At 46.8% G+C, this 27,078-nt stretch overlaps 1 protein-coding gene and 1 pseudogene across 5 annotated transcripts; one reads left to right on the forward strand and one right to left on the reverse strand.

The window, feature by feature from the left end:
* Positions 1-655: 655 nt before the first annotated feature.
* On the reverse strand, positions 656-26,967 carry PMS2P4 (PMS1 homolog 2, mismatch repair system component pseudogene 4; annotated as a pseudogene). 3 transcript variants are annotated; one of them, NR_046299.1, is made up of 6 exons: positions 26,901-26,967; positions 23,810-23,949; positions 21,742-21,828; positions 20,143-20,326; positions 16,988-17,074; positions 656-774 (listed from the first exon to the last, which is right to left on the reverse strand). The product of NR_046299.1 is annotated as a PMS1 homolog 2, mismatch repair system component pseudogene 4, transcript variant 3 (transcript). The 3 variants fall into 3 exon arrangements; NR_046297.1 differs by lacking the exon at positions 656-774 and adding an exon at positions 12,065-12,244; NR_022007.2 differs by lacking the exon at positions 656-774 and having other exon boundaries at positions 16,961-17,074.
* Positions 1,466-13,530, forward strand: SPDYE21 (speedy/RINGO cell cycle regulator family member E21). Of its 2 annotated transcripts, NM_001382715.2 has the most exons (9): positions 1,466-1,587; positions 2,817-3,398; positions 4,343-4,561; positions 5,899-6,129; positions 7,160-7,218; positions 8,438-8,523; positions 10,569-10,962; positions 11,085-11,189; positions 12,043-13,530. In NM_001382715.2, the coding sequence occupies exons 2-8, from the start codon at positions 3,239-3,241 to the stop codon at positions 11,142-11,144; spliced, it is 1,209 nt and encodes a 402-aa protein (NP_001369644.1). In that variant the 5' UTR covers positions 1,466-1,587; positions 2,817-3,238; the 3' UTR covers positions 11,145-11,189; positions 12,043-13,530. The 2 variants fall into 2 exon arrangements, with proteins under 2 accessions (NP_001369644.1, XP_047276362.1); XM_047420406.1 differs by lacking the exons at positions 1,466-1,587; positions 8,438-8,523; positions 11,085-11,189; positions 12,043-13,530 and having other exon boundaries at positions 10,569-10,635.

Raw genomic sequence — 27,078 nt, forward strand, 5'->3', positions numbered from 1 at the left:
GGGGAAGTTCTCTTCAAGGTACAGAAACCACAACTCCACAGAGAACCGCAGAGACGGCAGCATGACCAGACCCTGGCCAGGTTTGGGGAGGCTGCTGGGCTGAGACTTGGGCTGAACTTCCGCTGCAGGTCGACTTATTCCCATCAGCACCAAAGCTGCTGGAGGGGGTCATCCAAAAGCAAAGGAAGCAGGGGCGCAGCTTGGAGGCTGTTTCAGAAGGTCCCACTGAGCCAAGGACTCAAGGCCTGGCCACAGCCCTCCCAAGCGAGGCCCAGATCATATTTCACCATGCTCAGAAAACCTTGTCTGCTCATTTCAGTCCACAGTGATTTTGCTTTCTTTAGGATCTCTCTTGAACTGTCCAACCCAGAGAGTTTCAAATCGGAATGGATTCCAATGATGGAGCTAAATCAGGCCCCACCTCAGTTTTTGAATTACAATCAATAGGGCTGGGTCCCAGCATCTGTATCTTAATGTTCCTCCATGTGATCCTCATGCTGAAAGGCTGGTATTTGCAAATCCCTTTTTTTGGGGAGTGAAGGGTTTTTTTTTTTAGAGAGAGGCCTCACTCTGATGCCCAGCCTGGAATGCAGTGGTGGATCACAGCTCACTGCAGCCTTGAACCCCTGGCCGCAAGAAATCCTCCCACCTTAGCCAACCAAAGTGTTGGGATTGCAGGACTGACCACTGTGTCTGGCCAGGAAAGCCCTTCTGTTTCACTTGAATGATATTTCTGCAGCATACCTACAGCCATTGTTGTATTCAACTGCATCACTGCGGGAAAAGAAAAGGTGAGAGGTGACTGTTTTGCTTTTTTCTGAACATATCAGACCAAACCTGGGCTGTTTAGCCATTTTTTTTTTTTTTTTTTTTTTTGCGATGGTGTCTCGCTCTGTCACCCAGGCTGGAGTGCAGTGATGCAATCTCGGCTCACTGCAACCTCTGCCTTCCAGGTTCAAGCGATTCTCCTGCCTCAGCCTCCCAAGTAGCTGGGATTACAGATGTGCACCCCCATGCCCAGCTCATTTTTTCTGTATTTTTAGTAGAGACGGATTTAAACATGTTGGACAGGCTGGTCTCGAACTTCTGACCTCTGGTGATCTGTCTGCCTCTGCTTCTTAAAGTGGTAGGATTACAGGCATGAGCCACCGCGCCTGGTTTGCCAATTTTTTGACAACGTATCAACATCATTTACGATGGGCACGGCCTCAGTGTAGTGTGTCTAGACAAGATGGCCGGAAGAGAGAGGAATATGCAAACCAGGCTTGAAGATGGGTTAAATCAGAGCTTTTCATTCCACAAAAGAGAAATTTCAATGGGGTCAGAACATTGATCTTCTAATATTTGAAAGCCTGTTAACTAGGAAAGAGAGAGCAAACGATTTTGTTGTAGGAGGACCCACCCAGCTCTGACGGTTTAAAGCGTCATGAATGCGAATTTGAACTCCAGAAAAGCAGAGCTTCCTAACAATGGGACTTCCACAGCAATGGGATCGGCTTCCTCTTTCAGTGTGTGCCTTTTCTATGAGCGAGAGACTCCTAGGAAAGCAGCAGCCCATTAGGAAAACGTGTGGGAACTCACTCGCAGGTTCTTTATTTTTTTTGAGATGGAGTTTTGCTCTTGTTGCCCAGGCTGGAGCACAATGGTGCGATCTTGGCTCCCTGCAACCTGCGCACCATGAGTTCAAGTGATTCTCCAGCGCCCTCTCCTGAGTAGCTGCGATTACAGGCATCCACCATGCCTGGCTAATTTTTTGTATTTTTAGTAGAGATGGGGTTTCACCATGTTGTCCAGGCTGGTCTCAAACTCCTGACCTCAAGTGATCCACCCACTTTGGCCTCCCAAAGTGCTGGGATTACAGGCATGAGCCACTGAGCCCAGCCGGGAACCCACAGGTTTTTTGGATGGTCTCTGAATGTCATGTAACTCTTTCATTTTTTATCAAAAAAATTTTTTTTGACACAATATCTTGCTGTGTTGCCCAGACTGGAGTGCAGTGGCAAGATCATAGCTCACTGCAGCTTCTAACTCCTGGGCTCAAGTGATCTTCCTGTCACATGAGTCTCCCAAGTAGTTGGAACACAGGTGCCAGCCACCACACCTGGCTAATTTGGTTTGGTTTTGTTTTTTTAGAGATGGGCTCTTGCCATGTTGCCTATACTGGTCTTGAACTGCTGGCCTCAGGCAATCTTCCTCCCTTGGCCACCCAAAGTGCTGGGATTACAAGCATGAGCCACTGTGCACAGCTGAAATTTTTTGACTTAGTCTTTTTGTACATGTGATATTTTATTCATAGAATCCATAAATGGAAGGGAAATTTCTGAGTTCAGAGCAATACATATGATACAAAACTTGATATATAGACTAGAGTTTCTTAGCCGAACTGGAGGGGCTGGCTTAGGTAATCCATGGATTCCCTGAAATTGGGGACACCATTGGAAATATGTGTGAGCTCAGGGGCAGTTTCCTATGATTTTTAGGCCTCAAAATGTCTCTTGGACTCAAAATTGCCTTAGGGCAGAGGACGTGTGTACCCCCAGTATAGAATCTGGGACAGTGAATGTGAGTAAACATTCGGCAGAAAAGCTCTGCCAAACTGAGTGCTCTGATGTGACTTTTTCATCAAGTCAGTATTCCTGGGATCTCTTGTACATGATAATCTCACTCTTGCACATGATAATCTCACTCTTGTACATGATAATCTCACTCTTGCACATGATAATCTCACTCTTGTACATGATAATCTCACTCTTATAAGGTTTCATCGTTTCTGCTTACCCTAGTTTTCTTTCCCACTCTGTTCCCTCTCCCACCAGCCTGGACTCTGAAATGGGCATGTACAGAGACGAAGAGACCCCAACATGCTTCAGGCTTTGAGTGGAGAGGACACAGCCTCTGCTGGGACAGGGAACAGAGGGATGTGGAGTCCCTGAAGATGCTTTTGGACAATGGTCTGAGGTTGGGACAGTGGCAGGAGATACCATTCACCCAGGATCTCCAGGACAAGAGATCAGCCTGGCAGTTACATGTGTTTTTTTTTCAAACTGGTTGCCAGGTTGGCATGAACGATGACATCAGAGATTCCGACCTTCCTGATTGGAGGGACCGGACTCCGTGGTGCCTGGAGATCAGTTGGACAACAGTATCTTCTCAGAGCTGTTCTCCACTCCTGACTTCTCCTAGGCTTGAGAATTGATAACATACTCTTCTGGATCCTAGCAGTGTCCAGAAGAAGGCCATGGACAGAACGGAGACTAGGTTCCGTAAGAGGGGACAGATTACGGGAAAGATCACGACCAGCCGTCAACTGCACCCCCAGAATGAGCAGAGTCCCCAGCGGAGCACCTCGGGGTACCCCCTCCAGGAGGTGGTGGATGATGAAGTGTTGGGACCATCAGGTGAGGGGACTGGTGGAAGAAGAGGTGGGATAGGATTGACTAAGACGAAGGAAGGGGGCCGGGTGCGGTGGCTCACGCCTGTAACCCCAGCACTTTGGGAGGCCGAGGCGGGCGGATCACCTGAGGTCAGGAGTTCAAGGCCAGCCTGGCCAATATGGTGAAACCCCATCTCTACTAAAAGTATAAAAATTAGCCAAGTGGTAGTGGTGCACACCTGTAATCCCAGCTACTCAGGAGGCTGAGACAGGAGAATCACTTGAGACTGGGAGGAAGAGGTTGCAGTGAGCTGAGATCACGCTACTGCACTCCCAAAAAAAAAAAAAAGAAAAAAGAAAAGAAGGGTCAGCGGTCAGGAAGGAGAACCTGAGGAGGGTGTGTGGGAAGAATGGAGAAATTCAGGCTGGGTGCAGTGGCTCACACCTGTAATCCCAGAACTTTGGGAGGCCAAGGCAGGCGGATCACTTGAGGCCAGGAGTTTGAGACCAGCCTGGCCAACATGGTGAAACCCTGTCTCTACTAAAAGTACAAAATTGAGCTGGGCATTATGGCAGGCACCTGTAATCCCAGCTACCTGAGAGGCTGAGGCAGAAGAATAAATGGAATCCAGGAGATGGATGTTGCAGTGAGCTGAGATTGCACCACTACACTCCAGCCTGGGTGACAAAGCAAGATTCTGTGTCAAAACAAAACAAAAAAGGAGGGACTCAGAGAGCCAGGGACCAGGGAAGGACATGAAGCAGTGTTCGGAGGACAGAGAGAGAGAAGAATGGGGAGGGGAAGGAGCGGCACATGGGGTTGAGCAGAGGAGAAAATCAGACAGATGGCTTAGAGAAGCCAGCAGTCTGCGAGGCTGGGGAGGATGGAGAGTGGTTTGGGGTTTTGGGTCGGGGTCTAAGGTGATCAGATGCAGAAGCATTACACAGTGGCCTGGTTTCTTTACTCAGCCCCTGGGGTAGATCCCAGCCCCCCATGTAGGTCCCTTGGCTGGAAAAGGAAGAAGGAGTGGTCAGATGAATCTGAGGAGGAGCCGGAGAAGGAGCTCGCCCCTGAGCCTGAGGAGACCTGGGTAGTGGAGACGCTGTGTGGGCTTAAGATGAAGCTGAAGCAACAGCGAGTGTCACCCATCCTCCCTGAGCACCACAAGGACTTCAACAGTCAGCTTGGTAGGAGGACACCCCAGAGAGCACCTCCAATCCTGTTCTTTCTAAAAAGAGGAAACTTCCAATAACCACACTTTTCCAATGGGAAAGATACGCCCCCAGTGGGTGAGCTCTCCACGCAGGAGGACTCAGAAGTGATCACTCATGAGGGACACTTAGGAGACGATAGAGGACTAGGCTAGACTTGATAAAGGTTGGCGCTTGGGATGAGAAAGCTTGGTTTCGCACCAGGTGCAGTGGCTCACGCCTGAGATCCTAGCATGTTGGGAGGCTGAGGCAAGAGGATTGCTTGAACTCAGGACTTTGAGGCTGCAGTGAGCTATGACTGCACCACTGCACTCCAGCCTGGGTGACAGAGCAAAACCCTGTGTCAAAAGAAAAACGAAGGCTGGGTGTGGTAGCTCATGCCTGTAATCCCGTTACTTTGGGAGGCTGAGATGGGTGGATCACTTGAGGTCAGTTGTTCGAGACCAACCAGACCAATATAGCGAAACCTCATTTATACTAACAATACAAAAATTAGCCAGGCATGCCTGTTATCCCAGCTACTCGGGAGGCTGAGACAGGATAATCGCTTGAACCCAGGTGGAAGAGGTTGCTTTGAGCCAAGATAGCGCCACTGCATTCCATTCTGGGTGAGAGAGTGAGAAGCTGTCTCAAAAAAAAAAAAAAAAAAAAAAAAAAAAAAAAAAAAAAGAAGGAAGGAAGGGCCCAGAAGTCAGGAAGGAGCACGTGAGGAGGGTGTGTGGGAAGAATGGAGGTACTGAGGCAGGGTGCAGTGGCTCACACCTGTAATCCCAGCACTTTGGGAGGCCAGGCAGGCAGATCACTTGAGGCCAGGAGTTGGAGACCAGCCTGGCCAACATGGTGAAACCCTGTCTCTTCTAGAAGCACAAAAATGAGCTGGGCGTTCTGGTGGGCACCTGTAATCCCAGCTACTTGGGAGGCTTAGGCAGGAGAATCACTGGAACCCAGGAGGCGGAGGTTGCAGTGAGCCAAGATCGCACCACTACACTCCAGCCTAGGCCACAAAGCAAGACTGTTTCGCAACAACAACAACAACAACAAAAAAAAAAAAAAAAAAAAAAAAAGGGACTCAGAGAGCCAGGGACCAGGGAAGGATATGAGGAAGTGTTCTGAGGACAGAGAAACGGGAGAATGGGGAGGAGAAGGAGCGGCACATGGAGCTCAGCAGAGGAGACAGACAGAAGGAAAGATGGCTTGGAGAAGCCAGCAGTCTGCGAGGCTGGGGAGGATGGAGAGTGGTTTGGGGTTTTGGGTCGGGCTCTAGTGTGATCAACTGCAGAAGCATTACACCGTGGCCTGGTTTCTTTACTCAGCCCCTGGGGTAGATCCCAGCCCCCCGCATAGGTCCTTTTGCTGGAAAAGGAAGAGGGAGTGGTGGGACGAATCTGAGGAGTCGTTGGAGGAGGAGCCACGGAAGGTGCTCGCCCCTGAGCCTGAGGAGATCTGGGTGGCGGAGATGCTGTGTGGCCTCAAGATGAAGCTGAAGCGACGGCGAGTGTTGCTCGTGCTCCCTGAGCACCACGAGGCCTTCAACAGGCTGCTTGGTAGGAGGACACCCCAGAGAGCACCTCCAATCCTGTTCTTTCCAAAAACAGGAAACTTCCAATAACCACACTTTTCCAATGGGAAAAATATGCCCCAGTGGGTGAGCTCTCCATGTGGGAGGAATGTGAAGTGATCACTCATGAGGGACACTTAGGAGATGATAAAGGATTAGGTCAACTTGATAAAGGTCAGTGCTTGGGATAAGAAAGCTTGGTTTCGGGCCAGGCGCAGTGGCTCCCGCCTGAGATCCCAGCACGTTGGGAGGCTGAGGCAAGAGGATTGCTTGAACTCAGAACTTTGAGGCTGCAGTGAGCTGTGACTACACCACTGCACTCCAGCCTGGGTGACAGAGCAAAACCCTGTCTCAAAAGAAAAACCAAGGCTGGGCACAGTAGCTCATGCATGTAATCCCAGCTACTCGGGAGGCTGAGACAGGAGAATCGCTTAAACCCGGGAGGCAGAGGTTGCAGTGAGCCAAGATCAGGCAACTGCATTCCAGCCTGGCCCACAGAGCAAGACTCTGTCTCAAAATAAATTAATAAGTAAATAAAAATAAAAATCAAATAAAGAAAAACAAAATCAATAAACAAAGAAAGTGGTTTCAGCTGTGCCCTCTGAAACTTAATGTCTCTTACTGACTTTTCTAAACCTAAGTGTCTCCATCCATAGTGGGGGATCCCAAGGCCATGGTCACACCCTGATGTGACTGTCTCATGAGGAAATGATGGGAATTCCTTTATGACTCTGCAGTGGTCCCTCCGTGTCTGCTGGAGGGGGTCCTGGCTGATTCCCAGCTCTACATCCTGTAGATTCTCACACCCAGGGCCTCCTTCGGCCTCTTCTCAGGGGAGTCTCAGAGCAGGAGCCTCTCTCCCTTGCCCAGTGAAAGTCATTCTCCCCTCTCCCATCCACCTCACCCGCGGCCACAATCCTGAGACTTCCCCCCGGGAGGCACACTTCTCGCTGCCCTGCTGCTCCCACGGAAACCCTGTCCTGCTTCTCACACTGACATCTGCTCTCTAATCACAGAGGATCCTGTCATTAAAAGATTCCTGGCCTGGGACAAAGATCTGAGGGTGTCGGACAAGGTAAGGTTGTTCTCCATGTAACTGTTCCTGTTCCAACACATGGCTGGGGGGAGGGCGCAGCTTCCAAACCCACAGTTCTCCCTCCACCACCTCCCACCAGATGCTCCTACAGTCTTTTTTTTTTTTTTTGTGAGACAGAGTCTTGCTCTGTTGCCCAGGCTGGAGGGCAGTGTCTCGATCTTGACTCACTGCAGCCGATGCCTCCCGGGTTCAAGCGATTCTCCTGCCTCAGCCTCCAAGCAGCTGGGATTACAGACATGAACCACCACGCCTGGCTAATTTTTGTGTTTTTAGTAGAAATGGGGTTTTGCCATGTTGGCCAGGTTGGTCCTGAACACCTGACCTCAGGCGATCCACCCGCCTTGGCCTCCCAAAGTGCTGAGATTATAGATGTCAGCCACTGTGCCCGACCAGCTCCCATGGTCTTGAGTCTTGGCACCCACAAATTTTTTTTTTGTGAGACACAGTCTAGCTCTGCTCCCCAGGATGGAGTGCAGTGGCATGATCATAGCTCATTGCAGCCTCTAATTCCTGGGCTCAAGCAATCTTCTTTCCTCAGCCCCCTGAGGAGCTGGGACTAGGCACATGCCACCATGCTCAACTAATTTTTGAAATGTTTGTAGAAACAGGGTCTCACTATGTTGCCCAGGTTGTTCTCAAACTGTTGGGCTCACGTGATCCTCCTGACTCCACCTCTCAAAAAGTACTGGGATCACAGGCTTGAGCAGCCACTCCCGGCTATTCTTGGTCTTTTTATGATTTGTCAGCATCTCCCTCAGGATTCTGCTGGTCTCTTGCAGAGTGAATGAGTGGCCCCTGCCTCTCCTATGGGTCCTTTGGGATCTGAGCTCTGGGCCACAGTCTGGCCGCAGCCCTGAATCTCCTGGCCCCTCTACTCTCAGCTCTTCAGGACAGTTCTCTGCCTGGCACACAAAAGACCCTCCTGACACCAGCCGACCCAGACACACCCCCTCCAAAGATCCCATCGGAGCCCACCATCCTGGGAGCATCACCCAAAACCCTTCCTCTGGCTTCTCGGATTTGCATCCGACCTTCGAATACCCCTCCATCCCGCAATTTCCAAATGAGTACAGTCACCCCAACACTGAGGTCCCTTCTCTGATGGGCAGCCCCTCCCCAGACCCTCATTCCCCCTCTCCACAATCTTCCTCTTCCAAGATGTGACCTCTCCCTCTCTGTGTTCCTTTCTCTCCATCAGTATCTCCTGGCTATGGTCATAGTGTATTTCAGCCGGGCCGGCCTCCCCTCCTGGCAATACCAACGCATTCATTTCTTCCTGGCTCTGTGAGTGGTTTGCTGCCTCCTATCCGTCAATATCCAATGCCCTGGGACAGCGGGGGAAGTGGGATTCCAGCCTTTCATTTATTCTTTCACCTATTTGTCCTCTTTACTCTGTGTACAAAAAAGAGAGGATTATACTATCATAGACTGTTGTTTCTAAACAGAAACTCAGGCTGGGCACAGTGGCATACGCCTGTAATCCCAGCACTTTGGGAGGCCGAGGCAGGCAGATTACCTGAGGTCAGCAGTTCGAGACCAGCCTGGCCAACATGGCCAAACCCCGTCTCTACTAAAACTAGAAAAATTAGCTGGGCGTGGTGGTGTGCATCTGTAATCCCAGCTACTTGGGAGGCTGAGGCAAGAGAACCCTTTGAACCCAGGAGGTGGAGGTTGCAGTAAGCTAAGGTCGAGCCACTGCACTCCAGCCTGGGTGACAGAGTGAGACTTTTTCTCAAAAAAAAAAAAAAAAAAAGCCAAAAAAACAAACTCCAATGCCAGTGTACAAATAAAAGAATAAAACAAAAGGAACCATAAACCGCTCCTAAGGGGAAAAGAAAAGGAGTGGAGGAGCGGACATGCCGCTTCCTCCAGCAAGCAGACGTTTCTGGTTCTTCTCTCTCTCTCCTTCCCACATCAACCACAAACGCCATCGACCTCCTCTGGGTTCCCATGACAGAGGCCACAGTTCAGGTCCCCCTCGCATCACTCGAATCCACTGTCAAATGCTCCCTGCTGGGGTCTCCTGGAGTCTCTCCCCAAGCCAGGGGGCTTCCTAGTGCAGCCTGAACATCTTTCCAAAGCACAACAACCTCACTGCCCACCTGAACAACTTCCTTAGCTGATGCCTTTCTCTATCGAGGCCAGGGTCCACAGTGTCAATTCTACCCTCTCTACAATCTCTACAAGCACACTGGCTCACCATCTTGGTATTTCCTGGCTCGGCTTCACTGCTCCTTCCAAATGCCCTCCACTCGACTTTGTGTTTGTGTTTTCTGTCTGGGTGTCCCGCACACATGTGGCTCTGAAGGGAAGGACCCATTCCTTGAAGTCAGTTCACCCACAGCCTCTGTGATGCCTTCCCTCATCTTCCAACTTCTGCATGCCCGTAGCTCTCTAGTTACATCCTGGACACTGGGATTAGGTCATCTGCCTTGATTACTCCCAGTCCCATTAGACTAGATGCCTGTAGAAGGCAGGGTCCTGGCAAAATATCAATGTATTCAATTGCTTTTATTTTTTTGAGACAGACTTGCCCTGTCCCCCAAGCTAGAGTGCAGTGGTGAGATCATAGCTCACCACAGCCTCCATATCCTGGGCTCAAGCGATCCTCCCACCTCAGCTTCTTTATTAGCTCCGACTACAGGGCTGTGCCACCACACCTGGACAGTTTGTTTGTTTGTTTGTTTGTTTATTGAGACAGAGTCTTGCTCTGCCTCTCAGGCTGGAATGGAGTGGCCCAATCTCAACTCACTGCAGCCTCTGCCTCCTGGGTTCACACAATTCTTATGCTTCAGCCTCCTGAGTAGCTAGGCCTAACGGGTGTGCCACGGCACCAGGCTGATTTTTGTATTTTTAGTAGAGATGGGGTTTCTCCGTGTTGACCAGGCTGGTCTCCAACTCCTGGTCTCAAGCGATCCACCTGCTTCAGCCTTCTAAAGTGCTGGGATTACAGGCATGAGCCACTGCGTCTGGCATATTTCTTATATTTTTAATAGAGACGAGGGTCTTGCTATGTTGCCCAGGCCCGTCTCAAACTCCTGGCCTCAAGTGATCCTCCTGCTTTGGCCTCCCAATGTGCTGGGATTCCAGGCGTAAGCCACCACTCTCGGCCACCAGTTGGGTTTTTGTCTCCATCCTGAAGGAGTGGGAGACGCCCTTGATCAGGTCTCTGTCCAGCAGAGCCCTCCTGAGGAAGGCGTGGCTCTCTGCAGGGTGGGTGCCAGTCCTGAGCTAGGGACGGTCCCTTACCTTCCTCTCTGGGAAGCTGACCTCAGCCGGAGGCCTCTCCTGGTGGTGCCCCTGAGCAGCAACCTGATTTCTATCCTCAGCTACCTGGCCAATGACATGGAGGAGGACGACGAGGACTCCAAACAAAACATCTTCCACTTCCTGTATGGGAAGACCCGCTCTCGCATACCCTTGCTCCGTAAGCGTTGGTTCCAGTTAGGCCGTTCCATGAACCCGAGGGCCAGGAAGAACCGCTCTCGCATACCCTTGCTCCGTAAGCGTCGGTTCCAGTTAGGCCGTTCCATGAACCCGAGGGCCAGGAAGTACCGCTCTCGCATACCCTTGGTCCGTAAGCGTCGGTTCCAGTTACGCCGTTGCATGAACCCGAGGGCCAGGAAGAACCGCTCTCAGATAGTCCTGTTCCAGAAACTTCGGTTCCAGTTCTTCTGTTCCATGAGCGGCAGGGCTTGGGTTTCCCCGGAGGAGTTGGAGGAGGTGAGTGGGGCCTGGGGAGGTGGAGGAGGTGGGGAGGAATCGGGTGGGCTGGAGGCTGGATGAGGGGAGAGAGGGGTATCCTGGCGAGTCCCCGTCTTCTCAAAGGGCGTTTGTTTTTCCAGATCCAGGCTTATGACCCAGAGCACTGGGTGTGGGCACGAGATCGCGCTCACCTTTCCTAGAGCTCCAGGGACCGTGGAGGCCTGAGGTCATCGGCCTGAGAGAAGGTACATCTGCATCCTCCGGGGTAAAGGCAGAATATTGGGGTCTATTTCGGAAATCCGAAGAACCCAATTGCTTGATCCGGCTTCAAGCCTGGGCAACGTGGTGAGATCCCCTCTCCACAAAAATACAAAAATTAGCCAGGCGATGTGGGACGCATCTCTACTCCCAACTACTCAGGAGGCTGAGGCGGGAGGATTGCTGGAGCCTGGAAGGTTGGGGCTGCACGGAGCCCTGATCCTGCCACTGCACTCCAGTCTGGGCGACAGAGTGAGACCCTGCCTCAAAAATAATCATAAATACTGAGTTTGGGGAGGTTCATTATGATTGACGCACTTGAGTTACTGATTTGGGTCGAGGGTTCAGTGAAGCTTTGGTTTACATCTTGTGCAGCTAACCACGTTGAGCACAGAGCATGAGACTTCATCATGAGGAGGTAGGATTAAGGATTAGGCTTCTGGACTCGTGGTTCGTGATGTTGTCACATTAGAAACACATCTAGCATGGTTACAAGTTTAGATCTTAAGTGACACAAAAGGCCCCAGCTGTGATGAAGTCCAAAGCCACATTCTCTGAGGGTGCCCTACTCCCTGGGCAGACCCACCCAAAGTCCTTGCTATGAAGCAGATCACTGGGGCTGACCTTGGGTGTATTAAGTGAGTTTTGGAGTCGTGGTCACCAAAATGTGAGTTTCACAGTTGAACACGATGGTTCAGAAGCAGGGTATAGAATGAAAGGCAGCAGATAAAATTGTATTTCTCAATTGCTCTGAACTCTAGACTTGACATGGGACGTGAATAACCTTCCTGTCTAGAGAGCTGCCTCCTTGAAGTGTGACATTGTCTCTCTCACTTCCAGAACACCGGACCCAGGGGAGATGTGGATTTTCAGCAGGAACTTTATTCCAATGCTAATGGCAGACACCAGGAAGGAGAAGAGGAACCATTTGTGCAGATCATCTAGAAGAACCTGGACCATTCTTGATGGAGCTGAATACAGTGATCACGTGTCCTCCTGGGAGCAGGGGTTGGGGGAGGGGGGTGGGGTCCTTCTAGGAGTCCTTGGAGAAAAGTAAGAAACCAGGAGTGTTTCCAGTTCCACCCTTTCCTGCGGCACCACCACCCTTTTTATATTGCTGAATTCCAACCTCCCTGGGGCGGAACCTGGAGGTGCTGTTTCTTACGGACTTGGTTGCCACAGTCCAGGAGCATTTGAAGGCACAATGCAGGGGCTCAGATTGGCACAGAATTCTTTTGTGAAATATCAGTGCCACAGATTGTAACAGATAGCTTCATGCACACTCTGCATTTTATTGGTTTGTTTGGAAAATGTTGGCCATTGAATTATTCATAGATTTATTTCAAATAGTTTGGAAATTGTTGTACTTTTGAAAACATGCTGTTCCTGTAGTTTTTTGATGAGAGTTATAGTTGTTATATATACATAAAGATAATTTTCTTTTCATTTTTAAGAGACAATTCTTTTTATCCTAAATATTTTATTATCTTTAAATTTTTTTCTGTATTATTATATGTGCTCCTGAAGCGAGCACTCTTTTTATCTATGATACTTCCATAATAATCTCTTCTATTTATAGCTATTGGTAGTTCCCCACCAGAAAAAAACATAATTCTGGTGATAGAAATTTTTATTTGCTGTTTAGGTTTGTGACTGAATTGTGAGAATTCAGTTGTGATTTTTAACATGTCTCAGATATATATACTAACACGTCTAATATATACTATCTATTTTATTGGTTTATTTTGAAAAACATGGGTATAGAATTATTTAAATATTATTTTATTTATTTAAATATTTATTAAATATATTTATTTATTTAAATATTATTATTACTTTAAATATTATTTTAAATATTTTGGAAATACTGGTATTTTTGAATAGATGCTGTTTCTATAAAGCTGTGTGATGGGTATTATAACTGTTATATACACATACATATAATTTTGTTTTCCTTTTTAAGAGAGGATTCTTTTCATCCTAAATCTTTTACCTTTCAATCTTTGTATCTATTATTACACGTGCTGCTGAAGGGAGCATGTTTTTATCTATGATACTTAGTTAACATATATATTACATTTATAGCTATGTAGTAGTTCCCCTAAATTCTTGTAAAAATAAATTTTTATTTGATATTTCATATATATTTGAAATGTGAGAATTCAGATGTAATTTTTTACCTTGTTTTGGCATGTTTGTATATTACTTTAAAGAGGATGTGTGTTCTAAAGGAGGACATGAGCTGTGTGTTTTCAAGAGAACAATAGAGTGCGTCTCTTGGGGAAACATAATAAAAATGAACTTTTCTCACCTTCACAGCAATTGTGATCATATTGGTCTGGACTGATTATTTGCTGCCCAGTGATATTTTTCCTTAATGGGGTTGTGGTTATTTGAACATATTTATTAGCTCTGGAAGATAATCCTGTGCTGTTTTTTATGTAGAAAAAAACATAAGGCTGGGTGCAGTGCTCACACCTACAATCCCTGCAGTTTTGGAGGTCATGGCGGGAGGATCACCTGAGGCCAGGAGTTTGAGGCCAGCCTCAGCAACATAGCATCTACATCTATTTTTAATTTTTATTTTTTAAAGAAAAACAATAGAAGAGAAGGCTGATCCCAAGCTACAGGGTTTTTTTGTTTGTTTGTTTGTTTTGGAGACAGAGTCTTGCTCTGTCTCCCAGGCTGGAGTGCAGTGGCACAACCTCGGCTCCCTGCAACTTTCACCTCCGGGTTCAAACAAATTCTCCTGCCTCAGCCTCCCAAGTAGCTGGGACTACAGGCACCCGTCTGTACGTCCGACTAACTTTTGTAAAAATAGTAGAGACAAGGTTTCACCATGTTGGCCAGGCTGGTCTCGAACTCCTGACTTCAAGTGATCCACCCACCTCGGCCTCCCAAAGTGCTGGGATTACAGGCATGAGCTACTGCGCCCAGATGCCAAGCTAGAGTTTTAAGGCAGGAAATGAGAGAAAGATATTGAGAGAGGAAAACCAGGTGGTAAGAAAACTCTAAAGGTGGCCGGGCGTGGTGGCTCACGCCCATGATCCCAGCAGGAGTTTGAGACCAGCCTAGCCAACATGGTGAAACCCTGTCTCTACTAAAAATACAAAAATTAGGCAGGCGTGGTGGTGCACGCCTATAATCCCAGCTATTTGGGAGGCTGAGGCAAGAGAATCACTAGCAGAGATTGTGTCTCCTCACCCCCTCTCAAAAAAAAAAAAAAAGGAAGTTCCTGCAGCAGTTAAAGCTGTGAAAGACAGGCACTCTGCCATGCAATTCTTTGTGATTTTTCTTTTTTCTTTTTGGAGTTGGGGTCTTGCACTGTCACCCAGACTGGGGTGCAGTGGTGTGGTCATAGCTCACTGCGGCCTCAAACTCAAGCTCAAGCGATCCTCTTACCTTGCCTTTCAAATTGCTGGGATTATAAGCATGAGCCACTGCATCTGGCCTATGTGACACAATTCTGTTTTTTGTCTTTTTTTTTTGGGGGGGGGGGATGGAGTCTCGCTCTGTCACCCAGGCTGGAGTGCGGTGGCGTGATCTTGGCTCAATGCAAGCTCCGCCTCCTGGGTTCACGCCATTCTCCTGCCTCAGCCTCCCAAGTAGCTGGGACTACAGGCACCCGCCACCATGCCTGGCTAATTTTTTGTATTTTTAGTAGAGACGGGGTTTCACTGTGTTAGCCAGGATGGTCTCGATCTCCTGACCTCGTGATCTGCCCGCCTTGGCCTCCCAAAGTGCTAGGATTACAGGCGTGAGCCACCGCGCCCAGCCTATGTGATGCAATTCTGATGTCAACTCCCTGATGTTACCTCAAATGCCACAGGTTAAGGCCACCAGCCCCCACTAGGCTGCCCTCGCTTTAGACACACCTGCAGGCTTGGGTGTCCTCAGACCACATGTACTTCTCACCAACTGGCTGCAAATTTGGAGGTTCCCACCATGCCCTCAAGTTCGATAACTCACTAAAACAATTCACAGAATGCAGAAAAGCATGATACTTTCTTTCTCTTTTTTTTTTTTTTTTTTGAGACGGAGTCTTGCTCTGTCGCCCAGGCTGGAGTACAGTGGCCACCATGCTTGGCTAATTTTTGTATTTGTATTAGAGACGGGATTTCGCCATGTTGGCCAGGCTGGTCTTGAACTCCTGACCTCAGGTGATCCACCCGCCTTGGCATCCTAAAATGCTGGGATTATAGGCATAGCCACCATGCCCGGTCGACTTCTAGAGTTTCAATAACAGAGATGTGATTCAAGAAGGGACATGTTTTGTAGATGGCAGGAGCTTCATGAAAAGAAGCCAATGAAGGGCAGGACGTGTAGCTGTCTACCTACAGGAAACCAGCCAGGAGCCTCCCCACAGGGACTTCAGCACAGATGGCCGGGAAAATCTGCATTAACCTGAGCTCTGGACCTAAGAGAGGACAAGGCCTTGACTGTTTCTACAGACTCACAAGACGCAATCTCTGCAGTCCATGCCCATGGTGTGATCTGGGAAACGGGGGGCCTTCTAAATGCCAACAACAAGGAAATCAAATGTGCAACAAACAGAAATACCGGCATTGACACGGGCCATGGGGAGGCCTAAACAGATGACTGCAGTCCACTGCCAAGGTCATCAAAGGGGTGACTCTGAAATAATAAATTTCAGACGCCATGGCCCAAATAGCTGCATGAGGTGGGGAAGTCCTCCACAAGCCTCTGCTTCCTTCAGTACCTGTTTATGAAATAAGCTGAGGTACTTCCCTGGGGAATTTCCTTTCTCTTTCTTTCTTTCGAGATGGAGTCTTGCTCTGGCGCCCAGGCTAGAGTGCAGTGGTGCAATCTCGGCTCAATGTAACCTCTCCCTCCTGGGTTTTGGCAATTCTCCTGCATCAGACTTCTGAGTAGCTGAGATTACAGGTGCATGCCACCATGTCCAGCTAATATTTGCATTTTTAGTAGAGACAGGGTTTCACCATCTAGGCCAGGCTGGTCTTGAACTCCTGACCTCGTGATCCACCCGTCTTGGCCTCCCAAAGTGCTGGGATTACAGGTGTGAGCCATCACGCCTGGACTTTTTTTTTATTTTTTGAGACGACGTTTCACTCTTGTTGCCCACGCTGGAGTGCAATGGCACAATCTCAGCTCACTGCCACCTCCTCCTCCCAGGTTCAAGTGATTATCCTGCCTCAGCCTCTCGAGTAGCTGGGATTACAGGCACCCAACACCAAACCCAGCTAACTTATTGTATTTTTAGTAGAGATGGGATGTCACCATGTTGGCCAGGATGGTCTTGAACCCCTGACCTCTAATGATCCACCTGAATTGGTTTCCCAAAATGTTGGGATTACAGGCACAAGCCACTGCGCCCAGCCCCTCCCATACCTCTTTTGGTCAAGGCAGCACAATTCAGAAGAATCTTGCCAGGGAAGACTGGTAAATGGACATCAACGTGATGCCTATGGCTCCTGGTGGATTTAGATACCTCCTGGTGCTTACTGATATCTTTACCAGTTGCATGGGGGCTTTTCCATGCCAGACTGAAAACGCAGGAGATCACTGATCAACCTTCAACTATTTACTAGCAGAACACTGAGGGGACTGTGCGGTCACCAATACCTCCTATTGCACTTGGATAAACACCTCCCAGGAAATAGAGATGAATAGAAAGGACATAGTCAAACAAGCAGAATGGCTGCATTCCTTCAACCAGAAGGGCCATTAGTCTTGTTTTCACACTGCTATAAAGAACTATGAGAAACTGGGTAATTTATGAAGAAAAGAGGTTTAATTGACTCACAGTTCTGCAGGCTGTACAGGAAGCATGGCTGGGGAGGCCTCAGGAAACTGACAATCACGGCAGAAGGCGAAGGGGAAACAGGCACGTCTGGCCATGTTGGAGCAGGAGAGACAGAGAGAGTGAAGTGGGAGGGCTGCACGCTTTTAAACAACCAGATCCCACAAGCGCTCACTCAATATCACGAGAACAGCAAGGGGGAAGTCGGCCCCCATGAGCCAATCACCTCCCACCAGGTCCCTCCCACAACACTGGGAATTACAATTTGACATGAGATTTGGGTGTGGATACAGAGCTGAACCATGTCAAGGGTAGTTCAACCGCTGAGATTGATTGATTGATTGATTGACTGAGATGGAGTCCTGCTCTGTTACCTAGGCTGGAGTGCAGTGGCACAATCTCAGCTCACTGCAACCTCCGCCTCCCGGGTTCAAGTGATTCTCCTGCCTCAGCCTCCCGAGTAGCTGGGACTACAGCACATGCCACCATGCCTAGCTAATTTTTGTATTTTTAGTAGAGACAGGGCTTCACCATGTTTGCCAGGCTGGTCTTGAACTCCTGACCTCGTGATCACCCTGCCTCGGCTTTTCTTTTGCTGGAATTACAGGCGTGAGCCACTGCACCCGGCCAACAACGGAGATTTAGAAGGCAGTCGAGTCCACTATACCGCACCTCACCTGGTTTCTTCCTCTGTTGGGGCCCCTCGTGGCCACTGTTCTGTTACTTTTTGGTCCTATTTATTAAATGGATGGTGAGCTGTTTGTCCTCCAGGCTCCAACACTTCCACCTTCAGCTTGTATTACAACAATACCAGCCTTTCAAGCTACTCCAGGTGACCCCAGAACTCATTTGAACTCAGAAGCCCAAGAGTTTCATTCCTTTCACTTTAGGGGACTCAGTGCCCTGCTCAGCATGAAGTCAAAGCAGAAGCATGACCTCCATCCCTAATCCCTCAAGAATGAGGAGTGGAAGGTGTTGGCAGGAGGGTGGGGGTGAGGTTTGTAGATCTGTAACTGCATCAGACCAAATCTGGTTCAACTTTTTTTTTTTTTTTTTGACGGAGCTTCACTCTTGTCACCCAGGCTGGAGTGCAGTGGTATGAACTCAGCTCACTGCAACCTCCACCTCCTAGGTTCAAGTGATTCTGCTGCCTCAGCCTCCAGATAGCTGGGATTATAAGGGTGCACCACCACACCTGGCTAATATTTATATTTTTAGTAGAGACGGGGTTTTACCATTTTGGCCAGGCTGGTCTTGAAGTCCTGACCTCCACCTGCCTTGGCCTCCCAAAGTGCTGGGATTACAGGCGTGAGTCACTGCACCCGGCTCAGTTCAACTTTTATGTAATGAGGTTGTCAGTTGTTTTTCAATTGCCATGGACCCACAGGTTGAAGGGCATGTACCCTGTGCATGCCCAGGTTAACCAAGCATGCAACCATGGAGTGGAAACTAAAAGCTCGGCCTGAAGAGCTGAGACTGATTTAAGAACTGGACACTCCATGGCAGGAGCCAGGATCCAATCAGATTGAGTTTTGGTGTCACCCCATGGCAGGATCCAGTCAGATCACACCTCCCAGCATTACTTTATTGCAAGATCCAATCAAATCACAACTCATTACCCTATGCTTATAAAACCTGACATAGCCCCCAGCTGGGTAAGGGAGATTTGAGTATTTCTTTCTGTGTTCTTGCTAGCTGACTTACAAAAAAGCTTTAAAAAAAAGGCCATGCGTGGTGGCTCATGCCTGTAATCCCAGCACTTTGGGAGGCTGAGGCAGGCAGATCACTTGAGGTCAGGGGTGCAAGACCAGCCTGGCCAACATGGGGAAACCCTATCTCTACTAAAAATACAAAAATTAGCTGGTCATGGTGACACATACCTATAATCCCAGCTACTTGGGAGACTGAGGCAGGAGAATCACTTGAACCCAGGAGGTAGAGGTTGCAGTGAGCCAAGATCACACCACTGCACTCCAGCCTGGGCGACAGAGTGAGAAGACTCTGTCTAAAAAAAGAACAGTTAAAATTAGCACCAAATGCTTTACGAGTAAAAAAAGTTTTTAGCTGCATATGTTTAAGTAACTTTTTAGATTGTAAAAAATACACATACAAAATGGAAAGGCACAAAGAAGAGAGCAAAAAGTGCATGAGATCTCACATCCAAGGATAACCGCTGAGAACATGAAAGTGCTGACTCTTCCAGCCTTTATACTATACACATTTAGGCCGCTGTTTTGTTTTTATAAAACTGTAATCATATAATACAGATAGTTTTATAATCTGGTTTTTAAACACAACAATTACATAACATTTAGCTGTTTCTTTTGCATTCAGATTCATAAGGGTTCCAGTAACTCATTTATCAGAAAACCAAGAGAAATAGTCTCATTAAAATATAAGTACATAAGGCAGGCATGGTGGCTCACGCCTATAATCCCAGCACTTTGAGAGGCCGAGGTGGGTGGATCACCTGAGGTCAGGAATTCGAGACCAGCCTGGCCAGCCTGGACAACATGGTGAAACCCCGTCTCTGCTAAAAATACAAAAATGAGCCAGGTGTGGTGGTGCGCGCCTGTAATCCCAGCTATTCAGAAGGCTGAGGCAGGTGAATCGCTTAAACTCGGGAGGTGGAGGTTGCAGTGAATCGAGATCGTGCCACTGCACTCCAGCCAGGGCGCCAAAGTAAGACTCCATCTCAAAAAAAGATAAAAATAAAAAATAAAAATAAAATATATATATGTTTATATATTTTTCCAGACAGGGTCTTACTCTGTCTCCCAGTCTGAAATACAGTGGCACAATCATAGCTCACTGCAGCCTCAAGTTTCTGGGCTCAAGTGAATCTCCCACTTCAGCTTCCCAAGTAGCTGGAACTACAGGTGGATGCCACCATGCCCAGTCAATTTTTTTTTTAATTTTTCATAGAAACAGAGTCTCACTATGTTGCCCAGTCCTAATAAACACTATGTGATGAAAAGAAAAAAGTAAATCACCCTAAAGTTAAGTCTTTAATGTTAAGTCTTTAACGAGAAATGCAAATAAAGCATGTCTCAATAGATTATGGTAAGAGAATCAACTGAAGAATAAACATCTTTAGTAAATCTTTTGCTCATGTGCATTAACCAATACTCTTGAAAACCAGGATTAATTTACTGTACCTTCTTAATATTCCTTTGAAATTCCTTATGGTGCACAGGTAGTGTAGAAAATAACTGCTTCACGCTGACTGTGGTCCCTCTGGGGTGGGGGTAGGGGGTTTTCTGGATGATTTTCCCATCGTGATCAAACACCAGTCGAGTCCCAACCTTCGCCGATGCGTGGCAGGTAGAAATGGTGACATCGCTGTGAGAGAATACCAGGTGTGGTGTGTTCAGTGAGAGACCCGTGATGTTGAGCATTGACTATGTTTTTCTTCACTTGCTTTTCTCTCAAAACTTTCTTAAAAAGCTGATGATCCCTCTGAGATAACCAAGATCTAAACGGTTGAGGAGTCATCATAAAATCTAAGGTTTGGCATCTAAAGGACAGCGAGACAGAGAGCACTAAACATGCTTTGTTTTGATAAAAGCTTTGATTTCATTTTTCAGGTTGAATTGCAAAACCATAAATGATCTCAAGGTTTATTTATTCACAAATAGAGATTTGTTTTGTTATTACTCTTCAAATAAAATTGTTTTAAAGAATTAAAAAATTTTTTTAAAATTTTTAAAGAATCCAAAAGATATTATAATTAAAATGTATATGTAGGGCAGGGTGCGGTGGCTCATGCCTGTAATTCCAGCACTTTGGGAGGCCGAGGAGCACAGATCACTTGAGGCCTGGAGTTCCAGACCAGCCTGGGCAACACGGCAAAACCCCATCTCTACTAAAAATACAAAAATTAGCCAGGAGTGGTGGTGCACGCTATAGTCCCAGCTCTTCAGGAGGCTGAGGCACGAGAATCACTTGAACCTGGGAGGCAGAGATTGCAGCGAACTGAGACTGTGCCACTGCACTCCAGCCTGGGTGACAGAGTGAGACTCTGTCTTAAAAAAAAAAAAAAAAAAATACATATATATATATATACACACATATATACACACACACATATATATGTATATATATATTTAAATATAATTATAAAAATTTAGTATCTGTGCTATAATTAAATAGTGCTTTGGTGAAATGTTTCCCTAAAATTTGATGATGAAAAGCAATGGTAACTATCATTTATTACCTATATGTTATGTTAAAATTGAGAAGTTACTGTTCTAATAAGGGTAACCATTTTTTTTAACAATACTATTTGCTTCATTTCATTCATTTATTTCCCACATTTCAGAAGTATTAGGACTTAGATTGGCAGTGAGACAAAACAGAATTCAGAAGCTAGAAGCTGAGATACCGAGATAGAAAATTGTAAATAATAACGATTCCAATTAACTTTCTGAGAGGTTTTTCTAAGGGGTCAAGTGAATGGATAAAAACATTGTATCACCTCAGTGCACACAGTGAGCTCAGAGCTTCCCCCTGAAAGCCGAAAGTTTCAACCTCAGTTAGGTTGGCAAACTCTTGAATCTTACATGTGTGATGTTTCAGAGCTGAAAGAGACTGTAAAGTAAGGACTAAGATACCTCAAGTGCTAAAACAACGGATATACATGATATCTAGTAACTGGCTTAAAAAACTGTTTTTGCGTTTCCCAAGACAGTGTTACTCAAAATTCTGAGACATGTGGCCCAATTATTTTATAATAGGATTAGAAAAAGTCAACTTACTTAAGCCTTCAAAGTTTTCTTCTTCTACCCCACATCCATTGTCTGAAACTTCAATGAGATCCACTCCATAGTCCTTAAGCTTTAGATCTAGAAAGTTTAAATATTTATGTATTTATTAAAAATGGACCCATGCTAGAATGGCATGAACCCGGGGGGCGGAGCTTGCAGTGAGCCGAGATCGCACCACTGCACTCCAGCCTGGGAGACAGTGAGACTCCGTCTCAAAAAGAAAAAAAAAAAAAAAAATGGACCCATGCTATAAGCTTTTATATTGATATTATTTATAACATATGCAAATTGAAGAGTCATAACTATACCTTTAGTTAAACGTACGAGTATCATTTTGTATATTTCATTTTTATAAAGCCCTTTCTGGCCATTTACTAGCCCAGATTAAATAGTTTAGCTTTTTCTTTCCTCTTTTTTTTTTTTTGTCCATAGGCTAGTCAAATGAAGCAGTTGGAGTGGAGAAGGAACAAAAAAATCTGTAACTGGTTGTGATCAATTAGTGGTTAACACCGTTGCACTTTGACCAGCCTTTTCTTTTGAAAGAAATAATTTTAACATACCCAGTAAGGAGAAAGCGGGGGCAGGCACGGTTGTTCATGCCTGTAATCCCAGCACTTTGGGAGGCCAAAGTGAGCAGATCACCTGAGGTCAGGAGTTCCAGACTAGCCTGACCAACGTGGAGAAACCCTGTCTCTACTAAAAATACAAAATTAGCCAGGTGTGGTGGTGCATGCCTGTAATCCCAGCTGCTCGTAAGGCTGAGGCAGAATTGCTTGAACCCGGGAGGCGGAGGTTGCGGTGAGCCGAGATCATGCCATTGCACTATAGCCTGGGCAACAAGAGTGAAACTCCATCTCAAAAAAAAAAAAAAAAAAAGACAACTGGTTCTGGAATCAGACTTCCTGGATCCTATTTTATTAGCTTTATAATCTCAAAAAAAGGAAATTTCCTGTTCCTTAATTTCCTCATCTGTAAAATGAAGATAATAAGTTCTATCTCATAAAGTTACTCAGCTGATTAATAATTTTTTAGGTTTATTTTATTTTGTTATTTTCTTTTTTTTTCTTGTTTTTTTTTTGAGATGGAGTTTTGCTCTTGTCACCCAGGCTGGAATGGAGTGGCATGATCTGATCTTGGCTCACTGCAACCTCCACCTCCGAGGTTCAAGCAATTCTCCTCCCTCAGCCTCCCGAGGAGCTGAGATTACAGCCATGCACCATCACATCTGGCTAATTTTTGTATTTTTAGTAGAGACAGGGTTTTACCATGTTGGTTAGGCTGGTCTTGAACTCCTGACCTCAAATGATCAGCCCTGCTCTGCCTCCCAAAGTGCTGGGATTATAGATGTGAGCCACTACTCCACGCCTATTTTATTTTATTTTATTGAGACGGAGTCTTGCTCTGTCCCAGGCTGGTGTGCAGTGGCACGATCTCGGCTCACTGCAACCTCTGCCTCCCGGGTTCAAGCCATTCTCATGCCTCAGCCTCCCAAGTAGCTGGGATTACAGGCTTCTGCCACCAGGTCCGGCTAATTTTTATATTTTTAGTAGAGACAGAGTTTCACCATTTTGGACAGGCTGGTCTCAAACTGCTGACCTCAGGTATCCACCCGCCTTGGTCTCCCAAAGTGCTGGGATTACAGGTGTGAGCCACCACACCCAGCCTACTTTATTTTTTTAATAGAGACGAGGTCTCACCAATTGGCCAGGTTGGTCTTGAACTCTGGCCTCAAGCAATCCCCCCACCTCAGCCTCTCAAAGGGCTAGGATTACAGGCGTCAGACACCACGCCCAGCTATTCTGCAAATTAAATGAGATATTTCTGTGCAATTCTTAGCATAACACCTGCCTGGCACACCATAAGAACACAAGAAAAGCTGTCGTTATTATTATTACTACCTAGCTAAGTACTAGGCACATAATAGGTGCTAACTTTAACTTAAAAATAATAGTTTATTACTACATCAACACTTGATAGTCTTATTTCAATAACAAATGTTTCTTGACTACAACAACACACACTGATCATTTCTTGTGGCTTAAAACTCTCCCAAACTTACCAATATTGGTGGCACCAGCATCCAGACTGTTTTCTACTAACTCCTTCACCGCAGTGCTTAGACTCAGTACCACCGGCCCAGAGCAAATCTGATGGACTGACTTCCGATCGATAGGTTTGATGGCCTTAGCAGGTTCTGTACTAAAGAAATGTTACAAGAAACAAAGCAAGTATTCAGCTATATATTTTCATCCTGATTTTAACTGTGGGAAATGACTCAACACTGTAAATAGTTTATGGGTCTAATCTATTCATTTATTATATTAACAAATACATTTATTATATCCAGAAATAGAAACACTGTTTTACAATCCTTAAACATGTACCCAAGATACTTCTGGATAGATACTTCAAATTCAACAGATCCTTACTATCTAATTATACTAGGATCCACATGGAGAAAACATACATTCTATCTCTCAAATTACCAAAATCTTTGGCAACAATGGTGTCTTTCTTGAAAACTGAAAGCATGGCCTGGTGGGGTGGCTCATGCCTGTAATCCCAGCACTTTGGGAGGCAGAGGCAGGCGGATCACTTGAGGTCAGGAGTTGGAGACCATCCCGGCCAACATGGTGAAACCCTGTCTCTACTAAAAATACAAAAAATTAGGCAGGCATCACGGTGGGCGCCTATAAACCCAGCTACTCGGGAGGCTGAGGCAGGAGAATCACTTAAACCCAGAAGGCAGAGGTTGCAGTGAGCTGAGATTGCAGCATTGCACTCCAGCCTGGGTAAGGAGCAAAAATAAAAAAAAAAAGTGAAAGCAACATAATTTCCCACATAATTAGAAAAACCAACAGTATGCTGGAAAATACACAATGTTTAAGTTAAAATCATCTCAGAAATTGGGTACCAGTTACATAACTATTCCTTATACACAGTTGCCTTTGATACCCTACTCCAAACTGAAGCTGCCAGCTGCTGTCTTAGCAAAGACCCTCAAAGTTCTTGCTGTACTAACTTTAAGAGTTTTATAACAGTTTTATCTGCCCTTATTCCCTGCTCCAAGCCATCCTCCACTCTATCACCAGAGATATTTTTGAAATCACAGATCTGGTCAAATAATTTTTCTTCTTAAAAATTTACTAGTGCCCCACTTCCTACTACATGAAATTTAAGATCTAGTCATCACTGGGCCCAAAACTACCTTCTTTTCAGAATCTCTCTAATCCTTTCCCTTCATCAAGTCCCCTACATCATCACCATTATTATTATTTATTATTATTATTATTTGAGAGTGCTCACCCTGTCGCCCAGGCTAGAGTGCAATGGTATGATCTTAGCTCACTGCAGCCTCCGCCTCCCAGGTTCAAGCGATTCTCCTGTCTGAGCCTCCCAAGTAGCTGGGATTACAGGCACCCACCATCACACCCGGCTAATTTTTGTGTTTTTAGTAGAGATGGGGTTTCACCATGTTGGGCAGGCTTGTCTTGAACTCCTGACCTCAGGTGATCTGCCCTCCTTGGCCTCCCAAAGCGCTAGGATTACAGGTGTGAGCCACTGCAACCGGCCGTCCCCTATATTGTAGCGCAGTGAACAATTGTTTCCTGAACATCACAAGCTCTTTTAAACACTACAGTGTATAAGCAGGTCTCTCTCTAAACCACTCTCCTCTTCCTCCTCTGCCCAACCAATGTCTGCTCATCCAAAGAATGTATCCCGTGTGTTCATTAACTTAGCAATTTCCAGTAAACCGTTTAATTGATAACTTGTTAAGAGAAGGCAGGAAACCTCCATGAAAGAGAAATCATTGGGTATTTCCTACAGCATTTACCACATTGTAGGCCTTCAATAAACCCTTGTGAAATAAACAAACCTCTTTACTCTTCATTCCACCTTGCTAAGAATCTCACCTAAGTCTGTCTACCATGTGAAACTGCAGATGACCTCACAGAAAATTGAAAGAAGTATCTCTAAAAATAAATTTATTAGGCAACACACTATAGGCTACAGTCCACTTCTGATTTTTTTTTTTTTTTTTGAGGCGGAGTCTTGCTGTGTCACCCAGGCCGGACTGCAGTGGCTCGATCTCAGCTCACTGCAACCTCCGCCTCCTGGGTTCCAGCGATTCTCCTGCCTCAGCCTCCCAAGTAGCTGGGATTACAGGCGCCCGCCAACCATGCCCAGTTAATTTTTGTATTTTTAGTAGAAACTGGATTTCACCATGTTGGCCAGGCTAGGCATGAGCTCCTGACCTCATGATCCACCCGCCTTGGCCTCCCAGAGTGCTGGGATTATAGGTGTGAGCCACCGCGCCCGGCCCACTTCAGATATTTATTTTCAGGAGGGAGCGCATTTAGATACAGACCGAAAATGTATTTAAATGTGAATACATTTAAATGTAGTTACTTAAATCTATCTAATATATTTAAATGCAGAGAGCGAATTTGTGTTTACATATCTGACATGGAATGCAACTGTGCTAGCCAAGATTCGGTGTAGCTTACCAGCCAGAAATCACATATCCTAACAGGTAGAAATGCATTGCATTTTGTAAAACTGCGCAGCTATGCAAATTAGGATGTGTCTGGACGCTCTACCTTCCCCAAAATAACCTCAATTTTTTAAAAAGGCCAGGCAGCGTGCATCAGGCCTGTAATTCCAGCACCTTGGGGGGCCAAGGCGGGCGGATTGCTTGAGCTCAGGAGTTCGAGATCAGCCTCAGCAACATAGCGAAATCCCCGTCTCTACAAAAATAAAAAATTAAAAATTAAATAATATAAAAATAAAAATAAAAGGGGAGAGAGAACAGGTAGAAAGGAAATGCATTCAGTCTATGGGGATTTCACGCTAGGGCTTCAAGTTCACGGCCCTGTGATGGGATGTGGGCAGGGCCTGTCTGGGACAGGCCGAACCCAGCTCCTTACAGGGCCGAATCCTTTGCCCGCAGCCAAAGACCCCGAAGGAGCCTGCCTCGGCCTTAAGGCGCAACCAAGGAGCACTGGATGGCTGGGGCGCTGAGGACGCCGCTCCGGGGCCTCCACGCCTCGCCACGCCCCTCGGCCATGTTCCCCCCATTTCCAGGGAGGTTGGAACGCCGTGGTTCTCAAGGAGGACGCGCGAGAAGGGAGACCGCGAGCCCAGCTCACCTCTAGCTCTCAGCTCGCTCCATGGACTCAATACCCGATCCGCCTCGGGGCCTGGGAAAGTTCCCTCCACGACTCCCACAGGCGCCCCGCCTCCTGGGCTCCCATTGGCTGCTTTTGACGTTGTGCTCCACCCTTTCTGGGCGGGGCGGAAAAAATACTTCCCGTCTCTCCTTTTCGC

This window comes from Homo sapiens, chromosome 7 (genome assembly GCF_000001405.40).
Source record: "Homo sapiens chromosome 7, GRCh38.p14 Primary Assembly".
In the NCBI taxonomy this organism is placed as follows: Eukaryota; Metazoa; Chordata; class Mammalia; order Primates; family Hominidae; genus Homo; species Homo sapiens.

Excerpts from the sequence above, each read along its gene's own strand:
- SPDYE21 (NM_001382715.2), top strand. The coding sequence starts at position 3,239 with ATGGACAGAACGGAGACTAGGTTCCGTAAGAGGGGACAGATTACGGGA. Across the intron at positions 7,219-8,437 it reads ATCTGAGGGTGTCGGACAAG|TATCTCCTGGCTATGGTCAT; the intron begins GTAAGGTTGTTC and ends TCTCTCCATCAG. Across the intron at positions 10,963-11,084 it reads CCCCGGAGGAGTTGGAGGAG|ATCCAGGCTTATGACCCAGA; the intron begins GTGAGTGGGGCC and ends TTGTTTTTCCAG.